Source organism: Homo sapiens, chromosome 19, assembly GCF_000001405.40.
Source record: "Homo sapiens chromosome 19, GRCh38.p14 Primary Assembly".
Taxonomy (NCBI): Eukaryota; Metazoa; Chordata; class Mammalia; order Primates; family Hominidae; genus Homo; species Homo sapiens.
Window position 1 is genome coordinate 45,022,646 of NC_000019.10, and position 22,727 is coordinate 45,045,372.

The 22,727-nt window shown below is 51.2% G+C and overlaps 2 protein-coding genes across 10 annotated transcripts in view, besides 1 other annotated feature; both read left to right on the forward strand.

Annotated features, from left to right (window-relative positions):
* Positions 1 to 15,547, forward strand: part of RELB (RELB proto-oncogene, NF-kB subunit) — a 36,729-nt gene extending 21,182 nt beyond the window's left edge. For 4 of the 5 annotated variants that reach the window (XM_047439189.1, NM_006509.4, NM_001411087.1 and 1 more), the window contains 7 exons: positions 2,684 to 2,775; positions 2,961 to 3,092; positions 6,243 to 6,347; positions 9,889 to 10,104; positions 11,599 to 11,667; positions 11,806 to 11,883; positions 14,760 to 15,547. In XM_047439189.1, the coding sequence (XP_047295145.1) occupies positions 2,684 to 2,775; positions 2,961 to 3,092; positions 6,243 to 6,347; positions 9,889 to 10,104; positions 11,599 to 11,667; positions 11,806 to 11,883; positions 14,760 to 15,145 (1,078 nt within the window). In that variant the 3' untranslated portion in view covers positions 15,146 to 15,547. The remainder of the gene's footprint in view (positions 1 to 2,683; positions 2,776 to 2,960; positions 3,093 to 6,242; positions 6,348 to 9,888; positions 10,105 to 11,598; positions 11,668 to 11,805; positions 11,884 to 14,759) is intronic. The other variant, XM_005259128.3, reaches the window with a different exon arrangement.
* Positions 16,074 to 16,943: an enhancer, noted in NCBI's record as "H3K27ac-H3K4me1 hESC enhancer chr19:45541977-45542846 (GRCh37/hg19 assembly coordinates)". NCBI's record gives its function as "activates a minimal SCP1, AML or CMV promoter by ChIP-STARR-seq in naive H9 embryonic stem cells {active_cell/tissue: H9 hESC(naive)}" and the evidence as "EXISTENCE:reporter gene assay evidence [ECO:0000049][PMID:30033119]".
* The window catches only part of CLASRP (CLK4 associating serine/arginine rich protein), a 31,912-nt gene continuing 25,584 nt past the window's right edge, over positions 16,400 to 22,727 (forward strand). For all 5 annotated transcript variants that reach the window (NR_103529.2, XM_011526396.2, NM_007056.3 and 2 more), the window contains exons 1-2: positions 16,400 to 16,463; positions 17,539 to 17,666. Coding sequence is in view for 4 of the 5 variants with exons in the window: in XM_011526396.2 (XP_011524698.1) it covers positions 17,568 to 17,666 (99 nt within the window). In the remaining variant the exon portion in view is untranslated. The remainder of the gene's footprint in view (positions 16,464 to 17,538; positions 17,667 to 22,727) is intronic.

Here is a 22,727-nt window from a genome sequence, read left to right on the forward strand (position 1 = left end):
CAAGTGATTCTCCTGCCCCAGACTCCCGAGTAGCTGAGATTACAGGCATGCGACACTACACCCAGCGAATTTTTTGGATTTTTAGTAGAAATGGGGTTTCACCATGTTGACCAGGCTGGTCTCGAACTGCTGACCTTAGGTGATCCTCCCAGCTCGGCCTCCCAAAGTGCTGGGATTACAGGCATGAGCCACCGTGCCGGCCTTTTCTTTCTTTTTAAAACAGAAGCACTGTATAACTTTTATTTTGCATATGTCCACAAATGCTTACACAACATACAGTGGCTACATCTAAAACTTTGAGCATTTTTTCATAGTGCAAAGAGACAGAAAGGTAGTGACACACTTCACTGTGTTACACTGACTTTGGGTAGAGCCCTAAAGGCAGCACGCACTTCAGAGGTAGGGCTGAGTATTGCTCACACTCAGGTCTGGAAGATTTAATTTTAGAAATTTTTAAACTTAGTGAAAATATAAGTTCCGAGAGCAGAGATCTTGTCTCTTACATTCCCTGCTGTATTCCGAGTGTCTGGCATAGTAACTGGCACATAGTAGGTGCTCAGGAAATATTTGTGGAATGAATGAATACTGCCATGTTATGCAATTTACAGACCCATCAGTAATGGGTGAGAGCACCTGATTCTCCACAACCTCACCAGCACCGAGTATTATGAAACATTTTGATTTTTGCTATTTTGATGAGTGCCCCAAAACAAAGGCATCTTCATTGGTGTTTAATTTGCAGTTTTCTTTCCTTCCTTCCTTCCTTCCTTCCTTCCTTCCTTCCTTCCGTCCTTCTTTCTTTCTTTCTTTCAGACAGAGTCTCGCTCTGTCGCCCAGGCTGGAATGCAGTGGCGCGATCTCGGCTCACTGCAAGCTCTGCCTCCTGGGTTCAAGTGATTCTCCTGCCTCAGCCTCGCAAGTAGCTGGGACTGCAGGCGCCCACCACCACACCCGGCTATTTTTTTTGTATTTTTAGTACAGACGGGGTTTCGCCGTGTTAGCCAGGATGGTTACCATCTCCTGACCTCGTGATCCGCCCGCCTCGGCCTCCCAAAGTGCTGGGATTACAGGTGTGAGCCCACTGTGCCCAGCCTCTTTTTTTTTTTTTTTTTTTTTTTTTTTTGAGACCGAGTCTCACTCTGTCACCCAGGCTGGAGTGCAATGGCACGATCTCTGCTCACTGCAATCTCTGCCTCCTGGATTCAAACGATTCTCCTGCCTCAGCCTCCCAGGTAGCTGGGATTACAGGCGCCAGCCACCACACCTGGCTAATTTTTGTATTTTTAGTAGAGACGGGGTTTCACCACGTTGGTCAGGCTGATCTCAAAATTCTGACCTTGTGACCCACCCGCCTCGGCCTCCAATTTTTGTATTTTTAGTAGAGACGGGGTTTCACCACGTTGGTCAGGCTGATCTCAAAATTCTGACCTTGTGACCCACCCGCCTCGGCCTCCCAAAGTGCTGGGATTACAGGCGTGAGCCACCGCACCTGGCCCTGAAGTTTTCTTATTTTATTTATTTATTTATTTATTTTGAGACGGAGTCTCGCTTTGTCGCCCAGGCTGGAGTGCAGTGGCGCGATCTCGGCTCACTGCAAACTCCGCCTCCCAGGCTCACGCCATTCTCCTGCCTCAGCCTCCCGAGTAGCTGGGACTACAGGCACCCGCCACCATGCCTGGCTAATTTTTTTGTATTTTTAGTAGAGGCGGGGTTTCACCGTGTTAGCCAAGGTGGTCTCGATCTCCTGACCTCCTGATCTGCCCGTATCGGCCTCCCAAAGTGATGGGATTACAGGCGTGAGCCACCACGCCCGGCCTGAAGTTTTCCTATTAAAGATGAAGTTGGCCAGTGTTCTCACATGGTAAAGATAAGGCATGTTCTGGATCTTCTCAAGAACCTTTGACATGCTTATTTTTATTTTTTGAGACAGATTCTTGCTCTGTCGCCAGGCTGAAGTGCAGTGGCATGATCTCATCTCTCTGCAACCTCTACCTCCCGGGCTCAAGCAATTCTCCTGCCTCAGCCTCCTGAGTAGCTGGGATTACAGGTGTGCGCCACCACACCCAGCTAATTTTTGTATTTTTAGTAGAGACAGGGCTTCACCATGCTGGCCAGGATGGTGTCCCTCTCTTGACCTCGTGATCTGCCCACCTTGGCCTCCCAAAGTGCTGGGATTCTACAGATGTGAGCCACCACGTCTGGCCAAAAGGTTTATTTTATTTTTTATTGTTTGAGATGGTGTCTAACTCTGTTGCCCAGGCTGGAGTGCAGTGGCACAATCTCGGCTCACTGCAACCTCTGCCTCCCGGGTTCAAGTGATTCTTTTGCCTCAGCCTCCCGAGTAGCTGGGATTACAGGCATGCACTACTATGTCTGCTAATTTTTGTATTTTTAGTAGAGACAGGGTTTCACCATGTTGGCCATGCTGGTCTTGAACTACTGACCTCAAGTGATCCTCCTGCCTCGGCCTCCCAAAGTGCTGGGATTACAGGTGTGAGCCACCGCGCTGGCCTTCTGAGAGGTTTAAACCCCAGACCGTTTCTAATGCTGGGACCCCTGGGCCTGGGATGTCAGCCCCTGAGAGCCTGAGCCCCACAGCAGCATCTGCCAGAGCCCTCCTGCAGGTTAGGGCCACACTTGCCTGCTCACGAGCACTCCTCTCCCTCCCCCGTCACCCCCTCAGTTTTAACAACCTGGGCATCCAGTGTGTGAGGAAGAAGGAGATTGAGGCTGCCATTGAGCGGAAGATTCAACTGGGCATTGACCCCTACAACGGTGAGCACCCCCTGCCTGACCTGACCATCCCGTCCTCCCAAACCCCTTGACTTCCGTGCTCACCCTGGTCCCCTCACCACTCCAGGCCCCACCGTCTCCTCCAGCCCCATCCCTTCCCCGTTCCCCTGTACCCCAGAGAGGGTCTCCACTTCCCACCCTCAGCCTCCCCATATCTCCCCCGACAGCTGGGTCCCTGAAGAACCATCAGGAAGTAGACATGAATGTGGTGAGGATCTGCTTCCAGGCCTCATATCGGGACCAGCAGGGACAGATGCGCCGGATGGATCCTGTGCTTTCCGAGCCCGTCTATGACAAGAGTGAGTTGAGAGTGCTGTGGCCGTTAGGATTGCCCTTGGCTGCAGGTGTCAGAATGTCCCGCTTACAGAGGCATGAATGGCTCAGGCGCTGTGGCTCACGCCTGTAATCCCAACACTTTGGGAGGTCGAGGTGGGAGGATTGCTTGAGCCCAGGAGTTCAAGACCAGCCTGGGCAACTTGGCAAAACCCTGTCTCTATAAAAAATTTAAAAATTAGCTGGGTGGCCAGGCACGGTGGCTCATGCCGGTAATCCCAGCACTTTGGGAGGCCAAGGCGGGCAGGTCACCTGAGAAGTCAGGAGTTTGAGACCAGCCTGGCCAACATGCCAAAACCCTGTCTACTAAAAATACAAAAATTAGCTGGGCGCAGTGGCAGGCGACTATAATCCCAGCTACTCAGGAGGCTGAGGCAGAAGAATTGCTTGAACCCGGGAGGCGGAGGTTGCAGTGAGCCGAGATCGCGTCACTGCGCTCCAGCCTGTGCAACAGAGTGAGATTGCATCTCAAAAAAAAAAAATTAGTTGGGCATGGTGACATGCACCTGTAGTCCCAGCTACTTTGGAGGCTGAGGTGGGAAGATTGCTTGAGCCCAGGAGGTTGAGGCTGCAGTGAGCTGTGATCATGCCACTGCAGTCCAGCCTGGGCAACAGAGCAAGTGGTGAAATCCTGTCTCTACTAAAAATGCAAAAATTAGCTGGGCATGGTGGCACACGTCTGTAATCCCTGCTACCTGGGAGGCGGAGGTTGCAGTGAGCTGAGATTGCACCACTGCACTCCAGCCTGGGCAATGGAGAGGGACTCCGTCTCAAAAAACAAGAAAAAAAAACATCAAACCCAAAATGGAATCTTCTAGTGTTGTAGAATGAACAATCTGTACAACTATACCAGGCAGCCCAAGGGAAGAGGCAGCATAAGTAATAATCTCTCTCCCTTTCTGAGAGAGTGCATTATATTCCACAGAATCACCCTGGTAGACTTCTGCTTATTTTTCAGTGGCCAGAGCTTGGTCCCATGGCCACTCCTAGTTGCAGGGTGGTCTGGGAAAGCAAGTGCTTAGATTTTTCACCCTCTATAGAGGGATACAGGCATAGAAGAGGGGACTGGGAATAACTGGTAGGTTTTAGCCAACCCATAGTGACTGCTGTAAGCATCAAAATGGGATATTAATTCAGTCAGGGCATTTATGGATGCAAGTGATAGAATCCCAACTTAGCCGGGCGAGGTGGCTTACGCCTGTAATCCCAGCACTTTGGGAGGACGAGGTGGGCAGATCACGAGGTCAGGAGATCGAGACCATCCTGGCTAACATGGCGAAACCCCGTCTCTACTAAAAATCCAAAAAAAAAATTAGCCGGGCGTCGTGGCGGGCGCCTGTAGTCCCAGCTACTCAGGAGGCTGAGGCAGGAGAATGGCGTGAACCCTGGAGGCGGAGCTTGCAGTGAGCCGAGATCGCACCACTGCACTCCAGCCCGGGCAACAGAGCGAGACTCCTTCTCAAAAAAAAAAAAAAAGAATCCTTACTTAAATAGGCTTAAGGGGGAAAAAAGAGAATAAGTTATTCTATTTGTTCTATTAACGAGAAAAAATGCAGATGTAGCATAGTGCTTCAGGTCTGGCTGCATCCAGGGCCTCAGTGATGTCATTAGATATCTGTCTCTTTCTGTCTCTCAGCTGTTCTTCCTCCATGTTAGAATCCATGCTTATATCCTACCTGCCTGGCACCTCTCCCCGACTCCCAAAGCTGCTTTTAGCTTCTCTTACCTAATAGCTTTGCTTAAAGTCTCAGGTCTATCTCTCATTGGCCTGGTTTTGGTCATTTGCTCCTTTTTGACAAATCAGCTTTGGCCAGAGGGATGCACTGCTCTGATTGGCCAGGTCTGGGGCATGCGCTCAATTACTGCTGAGCTAGGAAGTGGGCTCAGCCCTGCCCAATCCCAGTTACTAAGATGAGGGGTGGTCCCTTGAGGGAAAATTGGAGGCTGTTAAAAGAAGAGGGGTCAGGACTACTAGATGGGGAAAACAACAGGTGTCCACTACATGATTACAGTCTATCAAACTCTCCTCAAGGAACCTTCTCTCACCTGGGACCCCATCAACTCTCCCTGAGGTCTGAGGGTCTCCCTTAAACATTTTTTAAAAATTATTTTTATTATTTTTTTTTAGAGATAGGGTCTCACTCTGTTGCCTAGGCAGTCATGCAGTGGTGCAGTCATAGCTTACTGCAGCCTGAACTCCTGGGCTCAAGTGATCCTCCCAGTTCAGCCTCACAAGTAGCTGAGACTACAGGCATGTGCCACCACACCTGGCTAAGTTTTATTTTTAAAACTTTGTAGAGCTAGAGTCTCACCATGTTACCCAGGCTGGTCCAGAACTCCTGGGCTCAAACGATCCTCCCTCCTCGGCCCCTCAAGTGCTGGCATTACAGGTGTGAGCCATCATGCCTGGCAATTTTTTTTTTCTTTTTTGAGAGAGATGGGGGTCTGCTATGTTGCCCAGGCTGGTCTTGAACTTCTGGCCTCACGTGATCTTCCTGGCTGGGCCCCCAAAAGTGCTGGGATTACAGGTGTGAGCTACCTTGCCTAGCAAAGGATCTTCTTTTGTTTTGTTATTTTTTTGTTTGTTTGTTTTTTGTTTTGAGACGGAGTTTTCCTCTGTCACGATGGAGTGCAGTGGTGCAATCTCAGCTCCCTGCAACCCCTGTCTCCTGGGTTCAAGTGATTCTTCTGCCTCAGCCTCCTGAGTAACTGGGACCACACCCAGCTAATTTTTGTATTTTTAGTAGAGTCAGGGTTTCACCATGTTGGCCAGGCTGGTCTCAAACTCCTGACCTCAAGTGATCCACCTGCCTCGGCCTCCCAAAGAGCTGGGATTACAGGCGTGAGCCACCATGCCCGGCAAAAGATCTTCGTTTTGGACAGACACTCACCGGGCTTCAGCTTGAGGGCTGGCGATTGTTCGTTAACCCCTTCTGTCCGAGTGACTTCTTTCTCCACCTGGACTATGGGTTCCATGAGGATCAGATGCCCTGCCTTTTCAATTCCCTACGTCTCCAGGGCCCCGGGGATGGCACCCACTGGGTGCCCAGTAAGGCTTTGGTGACTGAATTCTCGGGATTTTTTTTAATACACTTCTTCCTCTTGCTCCTTCCCAGAATCCACAAACACATCAGAGCTGCGGATTTGCCGAATTAACAAGGAAAGCGGGCCGTGCACCGGTGGCGAGGAGCTCTACTTGCTCTGCGACAAGGTGCAGAAAGGTGAGGGGCCTGGGGCAGCAAGCTTGGGCAGAGCGGGGTCTGGCAACTTGGAGGGGTAGCCAGGGAGCCCGGGAAGATGAAAGGATGAGAAAGAGCTGGTTAACCAGGGCACCAGAGTGCAAGGGTCCAGAACACTGTCTTTGCAGTCAGACACAGCTGATGGGTTCATTCACTCCCTGAGTCGCCTTCTCACCCGTCTGCGTAGGACGACAGAGACTCGTCTGTGGTGACCCATGCTGCAAGCTAGGCGGTGCCATCACAGAGCTCACGACATGTCCAGAGGACTCTGATGTTAAGGGTGGAATTGCATAAATGAACGCTTTACGGTGGTTCTGATAAGCGCTATGGGTAAAGCAAATAGGACAGGAGAAGCAACTCCACTTCATTCATCTCTGTTCAAATGGCCCTTCCTCAAACAGGCTTTTAAAAAAAAAAGACAGCTGGTCACCGTGGCTCAAGCCTGTAATCCCAGCAATTTGGGAGGCTGAGGTGGGTGGATCACTTGAGCTCAGGAGTTCGAGACCAGCCTGGGCAACATGGTGAAAACCCATATCTACTAAAAATACAAAAATGAGGGCTGGGCGCAGTGGCTCATGCCTGCAATCCCAGCACTTTGGGAGGCCAAGGTGGGCGGATCACCTGAGGTCAGGAGTTCGACACCAGCCTCCCAACATGGTGAAACCCCATCTCTACTAAAAAACACAAAAATGAGCTGGTTGTGGTGGCATACACCTGTAATCCCAGCTACTCGGGAGGCTGAGGCAGGAGAATCGCTTGAACCTGGGAGGCAGAGGTTTCAGTGAGCCGAGATCACGCCTCTGCACTCCAGCCTGGGCCACAGAGCAAAGCTCTGTCTCAAAAAAAAGAAAAAAAGAAAGAAAAGAAAAAGACAGCTGGGCACAGCAGCTCATGCCTGTAATCCTAGCACAGTTTTGGAGGCTGAGGCGGGCAGATCACTTGAACTCAGGAGTTCGAGACCAGCCTGGGCAACATGGTGAAACCCTGTCTCTACAAAAAATAAAAAATTTAGCAGGTGTGGTAGTGTGCACCTGTAGTCCCAGTTACTTGAGAGGCTGAGGTGGGAGGATCACTTGAGCCCGGGAGGCGGAGGCTGCAGTGAGCCAAGATTGCACCACTGCTCTCCAGCCAGGGCGACAGAGACAGACCCTGTCTCAAAAAATCAAAACCAAAAACAAACCGGCTGGGCTGGTGGCTCATGCCTGTAATTCTAGCACTTTGGGAGGCTGAGGTGGGAGGATCACTTGAGCCCAGGAGTTTGAGTCCAGTCTGGGCAACATAGCAAGCCCCCATCTCTACAAAAAAAAGTTCTTTTTAATTAAAAAATAGCCAGGCATTAGGCCGGCTGTGGTGGCTCACACCTGTAATCCCAATACTTTGGGAGGCCAAGGTGGGCGAATCACTTATGGTCAGGAGTTCAAAACCAGCATGGCCAACATGGTGAAACCCTGTCTCTACTAAAAATATAAAAATTAGCTGGGTGTGGTGGAACACACCTGTAATTCCAGCTACTTGGGAGGCTGAGGCACGAGAATCACTTGAACCTGGGAGGCAGAGGTTGCAGTGAGCCGAGATCATGCCATTGCACACCAGCCTGGGCAACACAGTGAGACTCTGTCTCAAAAAATGAAATAAAATAGCCAGGCATGTTGGGGCATGTGCCTGTAGTCCCAGCACTTGGGAGGCTGAGGTAGGAGGATTGCTTAAGTGCAGGAGTTGGAGGTTACAGTGAGCTATGATGGTGCCACCGCACTGCAGCCTGGGCAATAGAGCGAGACTCTGTCTCAAAATAGAATAAAGTAAAGTGAAGAAACTGGTTCCAGAGATATCTAGTAACTTCCCCAAGTTATAACAGAGTTGGTAGTGAAGAGTTCTAGCCTTCCTGGGTTTCCATCTTGGCTCTAACACTTGCCAGCTGTGTGACCTTGGACAAGTGACTTCACCTCTCTGTGCCTTCATTTTCGTCTTTATACAATACGGTACCTAATAGTACCTTCTTCATAGAGTTGTTGTGTGACTTAGAGGCAATCTATATGTAACTGACACATATAAAGTCTCAGTACATGGAGGTACTGTGATGACGGGCGATGCAGTAAGACAAGAAAAATAAATAGCAGGCAGAGTAGCATCATGAATCCTGACTCTTCCGCTACCAGTTGTGTGATGTCTCAACACTTTCAAGCCTCAGTTTCCGTTTTTGTTTTTTTTTTTAAGAACCAGGCTCTCGCTCTGTCTCTTAAATAGCTGGGACCACAGGCGTGCGCCACCATGCCTGGCTAATTTTTTAATTTTCTTGTAGAGACAAGGTCTTGCTGTGTTGGCCAGTCTGGTCTTGAACTCCTGGCCTCAAGTGATCTGCCAGCTTTAGCCTCCCAAAGGGCTGGGATTACAGGTGTGGGCCACTATGCCTGGACAGGCACCTTTTTTCTCTGCTGACTGTGCCTGGTATCCTTTTGCCATAACAGATCATAGCTGTGAGTATGACTGTATGCTGTCTTGTGAGTCCTCTTACTGAACCACCTGAGGGTGATCTTGAGGATCCCTGGACATGAGGGGGATATTAATTCTTTTGTTTGTTTGTTTGAGGCGGAGTCTTGCTCTGTCCCCCAGGCTGGAGTGCAGTGGTGCGATCTTGGCTCACTGCAAGCTCCGCCTCCCGGGTTCACGCCATTCTCCTGCCTCAGCCTCCTGAGTAGCTGGGACTACAGGCGCCTGCCACCATGCCCGGCTAATTTTTTTGTATTTTTAGTAGAGACGGGGTTTCACCATGTTAGCCGGGGTAGTCTCGATCTCCTGACCTCGTGATCCGCCTGCCTCGGCCTCCCAAAGTGCTGGGATTATGGGCGTGAGCCACCGTGCCTGGCAAGGGGGATATTAATTCTACCTACCTCTTAAATTGTTATAAGGATTAAATGAGATAATATATATAAAAATACATAAAACAAGGCCGGGTTTGGTGGCTTACATCTGTAATCCCAGCACTTTGGGAGGCCAAGGCGGGCAGATCACGAGGTCAGGAGAGCGAGACCATCCTGGCCAACGTGGTGAAACCCCGTCTCTATTAAAAATACAAACATTAGCTGGGCGTGGTTGCACATGCCTATAATCCCAGCTACTCGGGAGACTGAGGCAGGAGAATTACTTGAACCAGGGAGTTGGAGGTTGCAGTGAGCCGAGATCATGCCACTGCACTTCAGCCTGGAGGCAGAGTGAGACTCCATCTCAAAAACACACAAACAAAAAAAAACCAAAAATAAAATTAGCCGGGCGTGGTGGCATATGCCTGTAATCCCAGCTATTCCGGAGGCTGAGGCAGGAGAATTGCTTGAACCCGGGAGGCAGAGGTTGCAGTGAGCTGAGATCGCGCCATTGCACTCCAGCCTGGGCAACAGAGCAAGACTCTCAAAAAAAAAAAATTTTAAAAAGGGGGAATATTAGTCTTGATTTTAGGGGAGGCTGGGCAAGTTGGGAGCACAGTGGTCCAGATGTCCTGGCTTAGCTGATGTCCCCCGTTTCCTGCCAGAGGACATATCAGTGGTGTTCAGCAGGGCCTCCTGGGAAGGTCGGGCTGACTTCTCCCAGGCCGACGTGCACCGCCAGATTGCCATTGTGTTCAAGACGCCGCCCTACGAGGACCTGGAGATTGTCGAGCCCGTGACAGTCAACGTCTTCCTGCAGCGGCTCACCGATGGGGTCTGCAGCGAGCCATTGCCTTTCACGTACCTGCCTCGCGACCATGGTAACTACAGCAACCCAGGGTGACCCACCACCTCGGAGACTAGGTCTTTGGCCTTGGGGAGACCCCAGTGGGGATGGGAAAGAGGCAGAACTAGAATGCAGGCTCAGAGCTACAAAGACAGTGTTCAGATCCTGGCTCTGCTGCTTACTGGTTGTGTGACCTTGGCCTCTCTGAGCCTCATTCTTCTGTGCAAAATGGAAATAATAGTAGCTGTCCTGTGACATTTGGAGAGTATTTAATCTTTCCTCCCCTCAGCATCCTGCACATGCCCGGGCCTGTGCTCGGTATTGCTAGAGACACAGCAGTGACCAGCACGGCCCCTAGCTGTGTCCTCATGAGGCTTATAGTCCTGAGGATAGGGGACAGCCTGTCCCTACAGAGTGATGACCAGAGTGGGCAGGACTGGAATGAAGTGCTCAAGGGCTCACATTGCCCAGAGGGGGTACCTGACCCAGCTGTAGGTGTCAGGGAATGCTTCTTGGAGGAGGGGACAGCTGAGCTGAGGACAGGAGGATGACTAAGCAGGGAAGTTTTCTAGGGAAATAGTGAGAGTGGAGGAAGAGTGCTTTAAACAGCTGGAACAGCAGGTGCAAAGGTCCTGAGGCCGGATTGTGCCTGGGGTGCTCCAGGAACAACAAAGAGGCCAGTGTGTAGGCCGGGCGCAGTGGCTCATGCCTGTAATCACAGCACTGTGGGAGGCTGAGGCAGGCGGATCACCTGAGGTTAGGAGTTCGAGACCAGCCTGAACAACATGGCGAAACCCCGTCTCTACTAAAAATACAAAAATTAGCCGGGCGTGGTGGTGGGCGCCTATAGTCCCAGCTACTCGGGAGGCTGAGGCAGGAGAATTGCTTGAACCCGGGAGGCAGAGGTTGCAGTGAGCCAAGATTGTGCCATTGCACTCCAGCCTGGGCAACAGAGCAAGACTCACTACAGGCACCCGCCACCATGCCCGGCTAATTTTAGTATTTTTAGTAGAGACCGGGTTTCGCCGTGTTGGTCAGGCTGGTCTCGGACTCCTGACCTCAGGTGATCCGCCCACTTCAGCCTCCCAAAGTGCTGGGATTGCAGGAGTGAGCCACCACGCCCAGCCAAGACTCCATCTTTAAAAAAAAAAAAAATAGGCCTGGCACAGCAGCTCACACCTGTAATCCCAACACTTCGGGAGGCCAAGGCAGGCAGATCACTTGAGGTCAGGAGTTCAAGACCAGACTGGCCAACATATAGTGAAATCCCATCTCTACTAAAAAAATACAAAAATTAGCTGGGCGTGGTGGCGCACACCTGTAATCCCTCCTACTTGGGAAGCTGAGGCAGGAGAATCACTTGAACCTGGCAGGCAGAGGTTGCAGTGAGCCAAGACCGTGCCACTGCACTCCAGCCTGGTCAACAGAGCAAGACTGTCTCTAAAAATAAATAAATAAATAAATAAATAAAGGAATTAATTATTATTGATGAATTACTTCTTGTGTGTCCCTGGTATCTCCTTAACAGACAGCTACGGCGTGGACAAGAAGCGGAAACGGGGGATGCCCGACGTCCTTGGGGAGCTGAACAGCTCTGGTGTGTGCCCTCTGCCCCTTTCCACCCCCATCCCCAGGTTCTGGGGAGGGGACAGCTGACCCCACTGCCCTGTCCCACCCCAGGCTGGGGAGGAAGGGCTGTCGGGGAACAGGGGTCCTCATCTCTGCCTTCCCTCAGACCCCCATGGCATCGAGAGCAAACGGCGGAAGAAAAAGCCGGCCATCCTGGACCACTTCCTGCCCAACCACGGCTCAGGTGGGTCCCAGCTACACATAAGCCCCTGTCCCCTGGGTGGGCAGAGGGTAAGTGGCAGCCCTGCTTTTCTGGCCTCTTCACGCCCTCCAAGAGCAGCCACAAGGCGAGTCACTCAGCACTTAGCCAGCAACATAGAGTAGAAAGAATGAGGGCTTTGGAGACAGAATGGAAGTTCTGATCTCTTCTGGGCCATTTCCTTGCTATGTGAACTTCATTAAGTTGTTCTACCTCTCAGAGCCTCAGGGACTCCTTTGAAAAGGCCCAGTACATACTTAGCTCAGTGGTGTTTTAAAATTTGATCTATTTCTTCTTTCTTTTTTTTTTTTTTTGGAGATGGAGTCTCGCTCTGTCGCCCAGACTGCAGTGCAGTGGCATGATCTCAGCTCACTGCAACTTCTGCCTCCTGAGTTCAAGCGATTCTCCTGCTTCAGGCTCCCAAGTAGCTGGGACTAAAGGCATACACCACCACACCTGGCTAATTTTTGTATTTTTTAGTAGAGACGGTGTTTTACCACATTGGCCAGGCTGGTCCTGAACTCCTGACCTCAGGTGATCTGCTTGCCTCAGCCTCCCAAAGTGCTGGGATTACAGGCATGAGCCACTGCATCCCACCTATGATCACATTTAACTGCATTTACAGCAAAACCCAAAATAACAGGGGCTTCAACAGGATAGAACGTTATTTCTTGTCTCACATACATAGTCTGTAGGGACTGAAAGTGGCTCATGCCTGTAATCTCAGCACTTTGGGAGGCTGAGGCAGGTGGACTGCTTCAGTCCAGGAGTTTGAGACCAGCCTGGCCAACGTGGTAAAACCCTGTTTCTACTAAAAATACAAAAATTAGCCGAGTGTGGTGGTGCACACCTGTAGTCCCAGCTACTTGGAGGCTGAGGCAGACAAATCACTTGAACCCAGGAGGTGAAGGTTGCAGTGAGCCAAGATTGCACCACTGCACTTTAGCCTGAGCAACAGAATGAGACCCTTCTCAAAACAACAACAACAACAACAACAAAACAGGCCTGGCACTGTGGCTTACGCCTGTAATCCCAGCACTTTGGGAGGCCAAGGCAGGTAGATCACGAGGTGAAGAGAGAGAGACCATCCTGGCCAACATGGTGAAACTCCATCTCTACTAAAAACACAAAAATTAGCTGGATGTGGTGGCACATGCCTGTAGTCCCAGCTACTTGGGAGGCTGAGGCAGGAGAATCATTTGAACCCAAAAGGTGGAGGCTGCAGTGAGCCAAGATGGTGCCACTGTGTTCCAGCCTGTCAACAGAGCAAGACTCCGTCTCAAAAACAAGAAACAAAAAACAGTCCATAGGTAGGTGTTCCAGGGATGGTCTGGTGACTGCATGATCATCGAGAGACCGAGGCTTCTGCCATTTTCAGTTCGCCAACTCATGGTGCAAGGTGGCTGTTGTAGCTCCAGCCATTACGCCCACGTTCCAGTTAGCAGACCTTAGTCACATGATCACATCAGGCTGCAAGGAAGGCTAGAAAATAGTCCCTTGTGTCTCTAAGGTTTGTCTTGTTCCAAAAAGAGAGTCCCTCTTTTTTTTTGAGATAGTCTTGCCCTGTTGCCTAGGCTGGAGTGCAGTGGCACAATCTCAGCTCACTGCAATGTCCACCTCCCAGGTTCAAGTGATTCTCCTGCCTCAGCCTCCTGAGTAGCTGGGATTACAGGTGCCCACCACCATGCCCTGCTAATTTTTGTATTTTTGGGAGAGAAGGGGTTTCGCCATGTTGGCCGGGCTGGTCTTGAACTTCTGACCTCAGGTAATCTGCCCGCCTCGGCCTGCCAAAGTGCTGGGATTACAGGCGTGAGCCACCATGCCTGGCCTGAGAATCCCTCTTATAATGAAACTTTTTGATTTGATTGTTATTTTTTCTTAAGTCCCCATTATGCCTGAGAATGACATTTATTTTTTCTGACAATTTTGGGACTGGTGACTTCCCAACTTGTGTCTCCCATGGTCTGGAGATTTCACTTTTTGGGTTGTCTCTGTATGTTGGGGGGCTTTGGAACCTCTTCTCCTTTCTCACTCTCAGGGAAAACTCTCCACAGCTGTGTAGGAGCATGGTTTCAACCCCAGTTCCACAACAGCTGTGTGAGCCTTCCATTTACTTTCCCTCAGTGCCTTAGTTTACTTATTATTAATTATTTTTAGAGATAAGGTCTTGCTCTGTTGCCCAGGCTGGAGTGCAGTGGTGTGATCATACTTCGCTGCAGCCTCAAACTGGGCTCAAGCAATCCTCCTGCCTCAGACTGCCAGGTAGCTGGGACTACAGGCGGGCACCACCACACCCAGCTAACTTTTAAATAATTTTTTTGTAGAGACAGGGTCTCGTCACGTTGTGCTGGGATTACAGGTGTGAACCACCACGCTTGGCCTTCAATTTACTTATTATCTGAGAATGGTGATAGTCCCACACGGATTCTCCTTGGGATTAAGAGGGCACCTAAGGCCAGGCTTGGTGGCTCACACCTGTAATCCCAGCACTTTGGGAGGCCGAAGCAGGTGGATCACCTGAGGTCAGGAGTTCGAGACCAGCCTGGCAAACATGGTGAAACCCCGTCTCTACTAAAAAGATAAGAATTAGCTGGGCATGGCACATGCCTGGCCTGTAGTTCCAGCTACTCAGGAGACTGAGGCAGGGGAATCAACTTGAACTGGGGAGGCAGAGGTTGCAGTGAGCCAAGAGCACGTCATTGCACTCCAGCCAGGGTGACAGAATGAGACTCCATCTCAGAAAAAAAAAAAAAAAGGCCACCTTGATATCACATTTTGCAGGGAGTAGGGCATTTGATTTAGGGCCTGATCAGAAGTTAGCCCTAAATCACACTACACTTCTCTTGTCTTCATCCCCGTAGGCCCGTTCCTCCCGCCGTCAGCCCTGCTGCCAGACCCTGACTTCTTCTCTGGCACCGTGTCCCTGCCCGGCCTGGAGCCCCCTGGCGGGCCTGACCTCCTGGACGATGGCTTTGCCTACGACCCTACGGCCCCCACACTCTTCACCATGCTGGACCTGCTGCCCCCGGCACCGCCACACGCTAGCGCTGTTGTGTGCAGCGGAGGTGCCGGGGCCGTGGTTGGGGAGACCCCCGGCCCTGAACCACTGACACTGGACTCGTACCAGGCCCCGGGCCCCGGGGATGGAGGCACCGCCAGCCTTGTGGGCAGCAACATGTTCCCCAATCATTACCGCGAGGCGGCCTTTGGGGGCGGCCTCCTATCCCCGGGGCCTGAAGCCACGTAGCCCCGCGATGCCAGAGGAGGGGCACTGGGTGGGGAGGGAGGTGGAGGAGCCGTGCAATCCCAACCAGGATGTCTAGCACCCCCATCCCCTTGGCCCTTCCTCATGCTTCTGAAGTGGACATATTCAGCCTTGGCGAGAAGCTCCGTTGCACGGGTTTCCCCTTGAGCCCATTTTACAGATGAGGAAACTGAGTCCGGAGAGGAAAAGGGACATGGCTCCCGTGCACTAGCTTGTTACAGCTGCCTCTGTCCCCACATGTGGGGGCACCTTCTCCAGTAGGATTCGGAAAAGATTGTACATATGGGAGGAGGGGGCAGATTCCTGGCCCTCCCTCCCCAGACTTGAAGGTGGGGGGTAGGTTGGTTGTTCAGAGTCTTCCCAATAAAGATGAGTTTTTGAGCCTCCGGGGTTTCGTCTGTTCTGGGCTTGGGAAACGCCCTAGTCCCTTAGTAGCAAAGAAAGCCTCCAGGCTGGGGGCTCAGGCCTGTCATCCCAGCACTTTGGGAGGCCAAAGCAGGAGGATCGCTTGAGCTCACGAGTTTGAGACCAGCCTGGGCAACATGACGAAACCTAGTCTCTACAAAAAATACAAAAATTAGCCGGGCGTGGTGCTGCGCGCCTGTAATCCCAGCTACTCTAGAGGCTGAGGTGGGAGGATCGCTTGAGCCCAGGAGGTGGACGTTGCAGTGAGCCAAGACCGCACCACTGCACTCCAGCTTGGGCGACAGCGCGAGGCTGTGTCTCAAAAAAATAAAAAATGAAAATGAAAATAAAAAATGAGACCGGGCATGGTGGCTCATGGCTGTAATCCCAGCACTTTGGGAGGCCGAGGCAGGTGGATCACCTGAGGTCAGGAGTTTGAGACCAGCCTAACCAAAATGGTGAAACCCCATCTCTACTAAAAATACAAAAATTAGCCGGGCTTGGTGGCGCGCGCTTGTAGTCCCAGCTACTCGGGAGGCTGAGGTGGGAGAATAGCTGAAACCCAGGAGGCAAAGGTTGCAGTGAGCCTAGATCGCGCCACTGCCTTCTAGCCTGGGAGACAAAGAGAGACTCCGTCTCAAAAAAATAAAATTAAATAAATAAATAAAATAAAAAAGATAAAAAGATAAAGCATCCAAGCTCTTCCCTTCTCCGCTCTCCCACTTCTTCCTCGGGATCCCGCCCCTCTCGACTCTAGGACCCGCCTCTCTCGTCGGCGGAAGTGCGCTGCGCGGCCCTCCACCATGCTCCGCCCCCTCCCCCTAGCGCGGCCTTTCATTTCCGCTTCCGGTGCGGGCCGCGCGCGAGCGCAGCGGTGGGAGGCGGCGACCAGCCGGTGAGTGCAGGCTGCGGCTCGACCTCCCGGTTTTCGGGCAGGCCTCAGCCCAGCTTCTCCCTTTCCTCAGGCTCTCCCCATGCTGCTGTGGGCTTCTGCTGCGTCCCGGCCCCGAGGATCGCTCGTCCCTCACCCCATTAGGCCTGACGGGCCTCAGGCCGAGCCCGTGCCCCGGCTGTGGGCCAGAAGTTGCCGCGTCGAACTCGGCCTTCGGCCCAGCAGCTTATCACAGGCCCCGCCCCCTTGTCAAAAAAAAAAACAACAAAAAAAAAACCCAGCCCAAATCCTCAGGCCGCGACGCGATCCACAAGCCCCGTCCAAACCTTCGGTCTCCGCCCTTTCCCGCAAGCCCTGCCCCCAAGCTCAGCCCACGCCCTCCTGTCAGCCAGCTCCGCCTCTCTCAGGCTCTACGCTCTTTTTCTTTGGATGCTCTCCCCACCCCGCCATCTAGATCCCATCTTTAGACCTCAGCTTCACTCTGGTCTCCTTGCAACACTCCCTCCCCGTGTTCCCACTCCCTCTAGCATCTTCATCTTCCGCCACGCCCTTCACCTGTCCTCGACCTCCACCTTCATACAACTGCACTGTTCCCTTAAAAGCTTTCTCCGATTTCCTCCACCTGCCTTCATCCTTATTCTCCTTATCCCTCTACCACCCAGACTCATACCCAACCCCACGCATGGCCCCTAGTGGGAGCCTTTTCAGTTCTTCTCTTTCTCTTGAGCTCCAGCCTTAAGTGCTCAGGGTTTGCCTTCTGACCCTACTTCAAACACTGCTGATGTTTCAAAACCTTTCATTCCCGACTCCAGCGCGTGGAATCTAGGACACCCCTTTCCCAGTGATGCTCACCTCAGAATCACCTGAGGGTTTTTCAGAATGCCCAAGCTTCTAGATCGAAGTTGTTAGGGATGGACTTGAACATCTGGCATACTGTTCTGCAGCTTCACTTCTGCTCCCTGAAGCTAAGAGATGTGTTGTTTGGGATCGACTCTGCCACCAACTTGTTAGATGACTTTGATTCTGCCCATACGGGTTTCACAGACCATCTGACTTTCCTGGTCCCTTCATCCCTCAGGTTGAGGCCCCAGGCTTGGCCTCACCACAATGTGGCACGAGGCTCGGAAGCATGAGCGGAAGCTTCGAGGCATGATGGTCGACTACAAGAAGAGGGCGGAGCGGAGACGGGAGTATTATGAAAAGATCGTGAGTAACTGGCCTTTTGTCTGGGGTGAGGGACCCTGGGTTGGGGGGCACAGCTGGTCATCCTGGTAAAATCTGGGCTTGGAAGTATGTCAAGACAAGAGGCTCATTTCCTCAGGAGTATATTCATTAATCTTTTCTTGAGGATAATCATTGGTGGGATCCCAAGGGCTTCTGTTTGTTGTAGCATACTGTGTCGTTTGGTGTGGCCTCCCAGTGCCGATCCGGTGTTAGCAAGAAAAAGGGAAGTCTCTGTAACCCTCAGAGCAGTCCTGACGTTAGACTGGCCACCTCCAGAATGTCTGTTTCGCTTATTGCTGTGTTCCCCATTCCCAGAAGAGCTCAGCCACTCTTGAGATTTGGCTTGGCACACAATAGGAGTGAGTATTAAGTTGGCCTGGCACAGTGGCTCACGCCTGTAATCCCAAGTGGATCACCTGAGGTCACGAGTTCGAGACCAGCCTGGCCAAAAGGGTGAAACCCCATCTCTACTAAAGATACAAAAATTAGCCAGGCTTAGTGGTGTGTGCATGTAGTCCCAGCTACTTGGGAGGCTGACGCACGAGAATTGCTTGAGCCCGGGAGGAGGAGGCTGTAGTGCATGGAGATTGTGCCACTGAACTCCAGCCTGGGTGACAGAGCAAGACTCAACGCCTGTAATCCCAGCACTTTGGGAGGCCGAGGTGGACAGATCACAAGGTCAAGAGATCGAGACCGTCCTGGCTAACACGGTGAAACCCCATCTCTATTAAAATACAAAAAATTAGCCAGGTGAGGTGGCGGGTGCCTGTAGTCCCAGCTACTCGGGAGGCTGAGGCAGGAGAATGGTGTGAACCGGGGAGGGGGGCAGAGCGGAGCCTGCAGTGAGCTGAGATAGCACCATTGCACTCCAGCCTGGGCGACAGCGAGACTCTGTCTCAAAAAAAAAAAAAAAAAGACTGTCTCAAAAAAAAAGGAGTGAATATTAAGTGAAACCTGACCACTTCCCTCTCCTGTCTGATGCTTCAGTTGTTTTTGCGGGGAAGACCAAACTATCCCTGGCCTAAAAGACCCTTGTGGTCTGACCACTCAGCTTCATACTCGGACAGCTCCACTGGCCTTCTATTTCTGCCACCACAGGGCTTTGGCCTATATTACCCCCCCTCACCTATTTAACTCCTGTGTATCCTTGGGATCCCAGCTTGAAATGGCACCTGTTTTCTAGGTTCAGTGTTCCTGTCAGATGACATTTATATAGACCTTTCCCAGTTATTCCTGTATTACTGCCCCAGCCTCCTCCCTGGTCTGCTGGCCTCCAGTCCTGGCTCCTCCAGTCTGTCCTTCCTAGAAGAGTCCAAGAGGCCTTTCTAAAGCACAAAACTGACCCTGTCCCTTCGTTGCTCAGAGCACCTCTATGCCTCCTAAGTGCCCTTGAGAGAAAGCCCAGGCTCCTCACTGTGGCCTTTAGGGTCCTGCATGGCCTGGCCTTTGCCCTTCCTCCAGACTCACACCACCCCACACTCTGCCTTGTTCCTTTGCACAAGTCATTTTGGCCTCCTTGCTATTCCTCCACTGACCCAAGCGCTCCCCAGCCACAGGACCTTTGTATGAGCTCTTCCCATACCTGGTTAACTACTGCTTATCTGTCAGATCTCAGTCCTCAGAGAAGTCTTGTTTCCCAAGCTCAGTCAGGTGTCCTCTAAAAATGCCATAATCATAGCTCCCTTTCCTTCCCCTTTGTGGAATTTAACACACTTAAGATACACATACATGGGCCTGGTGTGGTGGCTCACGCCTGTAATCCCAGCATTTTGGGGGCCAAGGCAGGTGGATCACCTCAGGTCAAGAGTTTGAGACCAGCCTGGCTAACATGATGAAACCTCGTCTCTACTAAAAATACAGAAATTAGCTGGAGGTGGTGAGGAGCCTGGGCTTTCTCTCAAGGGCACTTAGGAGCCATAGAGGTGCTCTGAGCAATGAAGGGACAGGGTCAGTTTTGTGCTTTAGAAAGGCCTCCTGGACTCTTCTAGGGAGGACAGACTGGAGGAGCCAGGACTGGAGGCCAGCAGACCAGGGAAGAGGCTGGGGCAGTAATACAGGAGTAAATGGTAATCCCAGCTACTCGGGAGGCTGAGGCAGGAGAATTGCTTGAACCCGGGAGGCATAGGTTGCATTGCTCTCCAGCCTGGGCAACAGAGTGAGACTCCATCTCAAAAAAAAAATTTATATATATATATATATGTGTGTGTATGTATGTATACACACACGCACACACATACGCATACACAGGTTGAACATCCCTAATTCAAAATCCGAAATGCTCCAAAATCTTTTTTTTTTTTTGAGGCAGAGTCTTGCTTAGTCGCCCAGGCTGGAGTGCAGTGGCATGATGTCAGCTCACTGTAACGTCCACCCCCCAGGTTCAAGCTATTCTCCTGCCTCACTCAACCTCCTGAGTAGCTGGAATTACAGGCATGTGCCACTATGCCTGGCTAATTTTTGCACTTTTGGTAGAGACAGGGTTTCACCATGTTGGTCAGGCTAGTCTTGAACTCCCGACCTCAAGTGATTTGCTTGCCTCGGCCTCCCAAAGTGCTGGGATTACAGGCGTGAGCCACCACGCCCGGCTAGCTCCAAAATCTGAAACTTTCTGCATACTGACATGATGCCCCACTATAAGTGGAAAGTTTCACATATAAGTACTTTACACAAACTTTGTTTCATGCACAAAATTATTTAAAATATTGTATACAATTACCTTCAGGCTGTGCTTATAAAGTATAAATGAATTTGGTCTTTGGACTTGGGTGCCATCCCTAAGATATCTCATTATGAATAGACAAATATTCCAAAATCTGAAAAAATCTGAAGCACCTCTGATCCCAAGCACTTCAGATAAGGAATACTTTGTGTGTGTGTGTGTGTGTGTGTGTGTGTGTGTGTGTGTGTCCCGTCTCTACTACAAATACAAAAAATTAGCTGGGCGTGGTGGTGGGCACCTGTACTCCCAGCTACTCGGGAGGCTGAGGCAGGAGAATGGCATGAACCCGGGAGACAGAGCTTGCAGTGAGCCGAGATAGTGCCACTGCACTCCAGCCTGGGCGACAGAGCGAGACTCCGTCCCAAAAAAAAAAAAAAAAAAAAAAATTTTTTCCATTCATACGTATATGCACATACCCAGCTCTGTGAGACTGGGGACTAATTATATTTGGGTCACGTTTGTACCCTAGGGTTGGGTCCATCAAATATGGTTTGAAAGAATAGATGAATAAAACAATATTAACAATAGTAATTAACCATTTAATTGATCCTTCGCAGGCACCCCCAGGCCATGTGAGAGATGCAGGATTTTTTTTGAATCCCCACAGTCACCTGTGAGACAGAGACCGCTCTTACTTCCACTCAGCAGAGAAGAGGAAGCTCTGAGAGCTCCTTGCTTACCTCTGCCACCCAGGAAGGAACCACGGGGCTAAAGGGAGAACTCATCTCCGATAGTGTCAGAAAGATGTGATCATCAAGGCAAGGCCTGGGTCTCTGTTGGTCATAGTTGAGGCCCCAGAAGTGGCCTAGGAACACAGCACTCAGGAATGAATAGCTACCTTTTTTTTTTTTGAGATGGAGTCTGGCTCTGTCGCCCAGGCTGGAGTGCAGTGGCACGATCTCGGCTCAGTGCAACCTCCGCCTCCCGGGTTCAAGCAATTCTCCTGCCTTAGCCTCCCAAGCAGCTGAGACTATAGGTGCCCACCACCACGCCCGGCTAATTTTTGTATTTTTAGTAGAGACAGGGTTTCACCATATTGGCCAGGCTGGTCTCAAACTCCTGACTGCAAGTGATCCGCCTGCCTTGGCTTCCCAAAGCGCTGGGATTATAGGCGTGAGCCACCACACCCAGCCTAGCTGCCATTTATTAAGGGCCCATGGTGCGCCAGACCCAGTGCTCACCAGCTTGGCATAGTAGTCCTCTGAACAGGCCTGCGAGGTAGGTATTGATCATGCCTGTGTTAAAGGTGATGCCACGATAACAGCTAACGCTGTTGGGCAGTTCTGTGGTAACCACTGTGCTAACTACTTGGCTTGTGTCTCCGCTTCATCAAAGCCACACCCAAGACTAGGAGGTGGTTCTTACTATTTCCATTTTACAGAGGACAAAACTGGAGCACGGAGATACGTGGCTTACAGTCACATAGCATGAGGGCAGAGCTGGCACTATAACCCAGTCTCTGACCCTTAACCTCTCTAAGCTTTTCACCTGCGCCTTATCATGCAGAAATAGAGGTTCAAAAAGATGAGGCATAGCAAGACCCCATCTCTGCAAAAAATAATAAAAAAAAATTAGCCAGGTTTGGTGGCATGCGCCTGTGGTCCCAGCTACTTGGGAGGCTGAGGCAAGATGAGACCTGGGAGGGTGGGGCTACAGTGAGCTGTGATTGCACCACTGCACTGGAACCTGGGTGACAGAGTGAGACCCTGTCTCAAAAAAGAAAGGTGAGGTGACTTGCCCAAGGCAACACAGCCAGGAGGTGAGATCCCATCATGGTTAGTCCTTAGAATTTGGGAGTCATGGGGCTCTGGGTTCAAATTCTAGCGATCCCACTTATCTATAGTGTGACGTGGGCAAGTGACTGCCTCCCTGAGCCCATTTCCTCTTCCACATGTGAAAGGATGTCACATGGACAATCAGCTTTGGCTCTAACAAACCTAGAGCATCCGTCAGTGGCTTAAACAAGATAGATGTTTATTTCTTAGCCACAGAAAAGCCAAGAGGTAACCAGTTAGCTCGGGGACCTAAGCCGCTTCTGTTTTGTTCTCCTGGGCACAGCTTCTCTTCCTAGTGTTGCATCGAGGTCTAAGAGGCTCTGGCCATCATGTCTTCATTCTATCCAGCAGGGAGGAAAAAGGGAGGAAAAGGGGCAAAGCGCTCATGCCATTTGTTGAGAAAGTTTCTAGGCCAGGTGCAGTGGCTCACGCCTGTAATCCCAGCACTTCGGGAGGCCGAGGCAGGAGGACTGCTTGAGCCCAGGAGTTCGAGAACAGCCTGGACAACATGGTGAAACCCCGTCTATACCAAAATATACAAAAATTAGC